The 6,279-nt window shown below is 40.3% G+C and overlaps 1 pseudogene across 1 annotated transcript; it reads left to right on the top strand.

Moving 5' to 3' along the window:
• The first annotated feature begins 469 nt into the window (after positions 1–469).
• On the top strand, positions 470–1,724 carry HAVCR1P1 (hepatitis A virus cellular receptor 1 pseudogene 1; annotated as a pseudogene). The gene has a single exon (NR_003603.1). The product of NR_003603.1 is annotated as a hepatitis A virus cellular receptor 1 pseudogene 1 (transcript).
• Positions 1,725–6,279: the final 4,555 nt, after the last annotated feature.

The raw sequence follows: 6,279 nt of genomic DNA, 5'->3' as shown, positions 1-6,279 counted from the left end.
TCATTGACTTTGTTTTAAGCAGTGCTAGATATAGATGTGGTGAACATGGCTGACTGTGTTCTGAAGCTTGCTTATGCCTTTGTTCCTCTGTTCCGCACTGGAGAGCAGATGGTGTGTAGTCATGTATCTGTTTTGTGTTATGCTAAGAAAAAGGGAGAAGTATCAGTGTACTGGAGAAGTGGAGTGATTAACACTAGTCAAATTCTTATGTTCAGAGATTATTATTTGTTGGGAACAGGCCTCCCAAAATCTGGCCATAAACTGGCCCCAAAACTGGCCATAAACAAAATCTTTGCAGCACTGTGACATGTACATGATGGCCATAATGCCCATGCTGGGAGGTTGTGCATTTACCAGAATGAGGGCAAGGAACACCTGGCCCACCCAGGGTGGAAAACCATTTAAAGCCGTCCACAAACAGAGACTAGGAGGAGGGAGAAGAAGCTGGAAAACTGCCTTCTAACTAACTGGCTGATCCCATAATGTATCCTGAAGTGGCCATCTTAAGCCTCATCCTACATCTGGCAGATTCTGTAGCTGGTTCTGTAAAGGTTGGTGGAATGGCAGGTCCGTCTATCACGCTACCCTGCCACTACAATGGAGCTGTCACATCCATGTGCTGGAATAGAGGCGCACGTTCTTTATTCACATGCTGAAATAGCATTGTCTGGACCAATGGAACCCACGTCACCTATCGGAAGGACACACACTATAAGGTATTGGGGGACCTTTCAAGAAGGGATGTCCCTTTGACTATAGAAAATACAGCTGTGTCTGACAGTGGCTTATATTGTTGCCATGTTGAGCACAGTGGGTGGTTCAATGACATGAAAATCACTCTATCATTGGAGATTGTGCCACCCAGGGTCACGACTACACCAATTGTCACAACTGTTCCAACCGCCACTACTGTTTGAACGAGCATCACTGTTCCAATGACAACAAGCGTTCCAACGACAACAACTGTTCCAACGACAAAGACTGTTCCAACAACAACGAGCATTTCAATGAAAACAAGTGTTCCAATGACAACAATGGTCTCTACCTTTGTTCCTCCAACGCCATTGCCCACGCAGAACCATCAATCAGTAGCCACTTCACCATCTTCACCTCAGCCAGCAGAAACCCACCCTATGACACTTCAGGGAGAAATAAGGACACAACCCACCAGCTCACCATTGCACTCTTTCACAACAGATGGGAATGACACCATGACAGAGTCTTCAGATGGCCTTTGGAATAACAATCAAACTCAACTGTCCCCAGCATATAGTCCACAGATGGTCAACACCACTAAAGGAATCTGTGCTGGAGTCTGTATTTCTGTCTTGGTGCTTCTTGCTCTTTTGGGTGTCATCATTGCCAAAAAGTATTTCTTCAAAGAGGAGACTCAACAACTAAGTGTTTCATTTAGCAGTCTTCAAACTAAAGCTTTGCAAAATGCAGTTAAAAAGGAAGTCCAAGCAGAAGACAATATCTACATTGAGAATAATGTTTATGCCACGGACTAAGACCCAGTGGTGCTCTTTGAGAGTTTACGCCCATGACTGCAGAAGACTGAACAGGTATCAGCACATCAGATGTCTTTTAGACTCCAAGACAATTTTTCTGTTTCAGTTTCATCTGGCATTCCAACATGTCAGTGATACTGGGTAGAGTAACTCTCCCACTCCAAACTGTGTATAGTCAACCTCATCATTAATGTAGTCCTAATTTGTTTTGCTAAAACTGGCTCAATCCTTCTGATCATTGCAGAGTTTTCTCTCAAACATGAACACTTTAGAATTGTATGTTCTCTTTAGACCCCATAAATCCTGTATCCATCAAAGAGAATAGTCCCTGGAAACATAGCAAATGAACTTCTATCTTGGCCATCAAAGCTGTCCAGAAGAGGGGAATCTGTCTCCAAAATCAGCAAATCCAATGTGAGACTTCATTTGGAAGCATTGCATGATTATCTCTTGTTTCTATATACTTCCAAATGTTGCATTTCCTATGTTTTCCAAAGGTTTCTAATCGTGGGTTTTATTTCCTCTATGGGGAAACAAAGTGAGTATAATTCACTCTAACAGGTTTAGCTGTTTTCTCACGACTCTGGAAATGTGATGCATTAAGTACTGGATCTCTGAATTGGGGTAGTTATTTTACCAGTTAAAAGAGGCTACAATAGTATGGAACACATAGACACCAGGGGAAGAAAATCATTTGCCAGGTGATTCAACATATTTATACATTATTTTTTTTTTTGAGATGGAGCTTTGCTCTTGTTGCCCAGGCTGGATTGCAATGGTGAAATCTCATCTCACTGTAACCTCCACCTCCCGGGTTCAAGCGATTCTCCTGCCTCAGCCTCACGAGCTGGGATTACAGGTGTCTGCCACTATGCTCAGCTAATTTTTTGTATTTTTTTGGTAGATACAGGGTTTCACCATGTTGGACAGAATGATCTCGAACTCCTGACCTCAGGTGATCCAGTTGCCTTGGCCTTCCAGGGTACTGGGATCACAGGCATGAGCCACCACGCCCCGTCCATTTATGCAATTTGTATTACATGTGTGTCATGGTGCTAAGCATTTAAACAACCATCAGGATTTCTGAACAAATTTTTAGAACCAAGAAGGTCAGAAATAAAAGAGAGAAAAAAAAAGGCTGCGGTAGGGAAAAGGCTGCCTTTTCTGACTTATAAGTTACATTGCAGATATAAGTGTTTGAAACTCACTAGTTTTGACCCAAATTCTAAATCGTCTCCAAACCACTTTTATGTTTAAAATTGATTTGGAGGCTAGTGCCATGACTCATGCCTGTAATCCCAGCACTTTGGGAAGACAAGGTGTGCAGATAGCTTGAGCCCAGAAATTTCAGACCAGCCTGGGCAACTTGGCAAGACCCCATCTCTATTAAGAAAAAATTTTAAGAAAAAAAAAGAAAGATAAAATTGTTTTGGAAAGGCAAAGTGTCCTTCTCATATCTAGTCAATTCCTGTAATTTTTTTTTTATAATTCAATTAGACTTATTGTAAGGATATCTTTAATCAGTACAAAAATATATAAAAAACAATTATACTAAAGCAGCATAATTGTTTAGAAGTATATATTTGCCAGCCAGGCATGGTGGCTTATGCTCTAATCCCAGCACTTTGGAAGGCTGAGGCGGGTGGATCACTAGAGGTCAGGAGTTTGAGAACAGCCTGACCAACATGGAGAAACCCCGTCTCTACTAAGCATAGATTTGCAAGAGCTAGATTTGTCAGAAAAGAAATATTTCTACATGAACAGTTAAGGCTGGGCATTAATTTCAATTTCAGTTTGAAAAAACTCTGAAATAATTCATGGTTGAGGTTCAGAGCTACCCATACCATAGTTGTCTGGGGTAACAGGATGCTTGCTTTCAGAGGAAAACGTTTGTTTTCATTTCTGTTTTTTTGAGATGTAGTTTTGCTCTTGTCAGGCTGAAATGCAATGGCACAATCTTGGCTCACTGCAACCTCCGCCTCCCGGGTTCAAGTGATTCTCCTGCCTCAGCCTCCTGAGTAGCTGGGATTACAGATGCCCACCACCACACCCAGCTTATTTTTTATTTTTAGTGGAGATGGGGTTTCACCATGTTGGCCAGGCTGGTCTCCAACTCCTGACCTCAGGAAAGCCACCTGCCTTGACCTCCCAAAAGTGTTGGGATTACAGGCATGAGCCACTGCGCCCAGCCAGAGGCAACATTTTTTAACACCGTTATCATTCTAGGAAATGTATAAGTCCTTTGAAGGAAAATTCTGTGGGCAAATGAGATTATGATACATGGTATTTCAGTTTTCCCAAATGTGGCTGGCCCGATCTGGTCAAAAATTTTATTTGTTTTAAACTATAGTGCCTTTTTTTCTTAAATTTGAGGCAATACGCACAAAACTGGAGATTTGAAATTAAAGCCAAGATTTATAGCTTCTCTGGAAAGACCCAGCAAGATTGGGCTGGATTGCTATGTGACCAGGCTTCCACTAGATGGGGATGCATCCTCTAATCCCCAAGTCCTTACTTTCCCTTGCATGCTCACCTTTGTTACCTGCTTGAAACTTGTGGGACTTTTAACTTTATGGCACCTGCTCTATACTCTGGATCTTTCCTGGGGATTTATGATGCATAATAAAGACTCTGGGAATCTGGTTAGCTTTGCTTAACACAACATTTCCAAAACTTGTTTGAATGCATGAGCACAGTCACTAGTAGCATTCTGTGAAGTACAATGTATGGGGGCTTAGGAGTTTAGGGTAGTATACAGGATTAGGAATAGGACTTGAGTCTAATCCTAACTCTTAGCAGTTACACTGGATGACATTAGAGCGAATGGTTCTTTATGTCTACATTTTCTTCATCTGTTAGATGTAATAATTTCCATATCAACTATGATGTAAAGTGGTAATTCCAATGAAATGTTACATGTGGGAAGTCTTTGAAATGTAAAAAAAACACTGCAGATACTGAAGCAGTTCAGAGAATTAAAAAACACTATGAAAACACAGCTTGGTAAATAATTTTTTTTTCTTTTGAGACAGAGTCTGGTTCTGTCATCCAGGCTAGAATGTAGTGGCACAATCTTGGCTCACTGCAACCTCCGCCTCCCGGGCTCAAGCAGTTCTCCTGCCTCAGCCTCCTGAGTAGCTGGGATAGCCACCATGTCCACTTAATTTTTGTATTTTTAGTAGAGACAGGGTTCCACCATGTTGCCCAGGGTGGTCTTGAACTCCTGACCTCAAGTGATCTGCCTGCTCAACCTCCCAAAGTATTGGAATTGCAGGTGTAAGCCACCATGCCCGGCCAGGGCTTAGTAAATAATTTCAGTGGTGTTACACCTATAAGTCTCTTGCTGTATGGTATCTTCTAAAATAACATTTCTTTTTTGAAACAGTTGATATTGGGTAATTTGGCCATCATCATATACTGTAGAAAAAAATTGGCAAGTGAAAGGGAGAATAGGGAAGAAGGAAGAAAGGGGAGGAATTTAGTGAATGTGAATTATTTTCCTTTAAATATATTAGTCTTGTAGATCATATTGAGTTTTTTAAATTATTATTTAAGATATTGTTGAGATTCCATTACCTACAATCAGTCTTGGGACATTAGAACACTGGTATAATTAAGACTGTATGTTTAAATTGAGAATTTTTGCACAACTTTAACAAGTAGCAGAACTAGTCGTTCACTGATGGCTTTAGAGATGAAATAATATTGTGAATACATGAAACTGTGAGGGACTCTTCATGGTTGTCTAGGTTTATTTGTATGCATACTCATTAATAAAATTTTTCTGTCTCTTAAAAAAAAAACCCACAAACAACAGCATGAGCAATCTGTGCCTTAAGGACATGCTCCTGCTGCAGATACGTAGCCCAACCCATCTCTTTATTTTGACCCATCCCTTCATTTCTCATAAGGGATACTTTTAGTTAATCTAATATCTATAGAAACAATGCTAATGATTGGCTTGCTGTTAATAAATATGTGGGTAAATCTCTGTTCGAGGCTCTCAGCTCTGAAGGCTGTGAGACCCCGATTTCCCACTTCACACCTTCTGTGAGTGTGTCTTTAATTCCTCTAGCACTGCTGGGTTAGGGTCTCGCTGATGGAGCTGGTCTCAGTAATTATTTATTTCATTATTATCTTTACCATAAATGGAATTTTGTAAGGGCTCATTTGCCCAACTTGTCTCTAGGAATTCCGATAGCAGCTTGGGCTGTCTCTTGTGTCTCTTCAGAAAACTAAATAAACATAAATCCAGTCCTAAACACCAGAAACTATGACATGCTTATATTACAAATGAATCTGTCTAGAGTACTTTTAAATTAGTTTAACCTACAGCATTCAAGTTGCAGACAAACTTTGGTGAAAAGCATTTCTTATCCAGGTTTTCCTGTATTTGCATTAAATCAAATAAACCAGAAGTTAAGTATTTCTTTCTCTTCTACCTGTGCTAGACCTGTTAATCCATAGGACTCCAGTCTGACAAGTTAACAATCAAGTTTTACTTTAATTTTCACCCTTTGTTGGTTGTTAGTTTTTATACATAGAAACACACTCAGCTTGTTGGTTGTTAGCTTTTATACATAGAAACACACTCAGCTTGATAGCAGTAGGAGCAAATGTCATCAGATCTAACAATTACTGAGAGCTAGCTACCAGCATCCTAATTTTTCTTTATGCATCATCTTTTTCATTCATCACAATTCTTCGACAGAGAGGTGTAGATGTAATTATTATCCTCAGGATTCAGATGAGGATATAAAGACCCAGA

The sequence above is a fragment of the Homo sapiens genome, chromosome 19, assembly GCF_000001405.40.
Source record: "Homo sapiens chromosome 19, GRCh38.p14 Primary Assembly".
NCBI lineage: Eukaryota > Metazoa > Chordata > Mammalia > Primates > Hominidae > Homo > Homo sapiens.
This window is presented reverse-complemented; position numbering and strand designations above follow the sequence as displayed.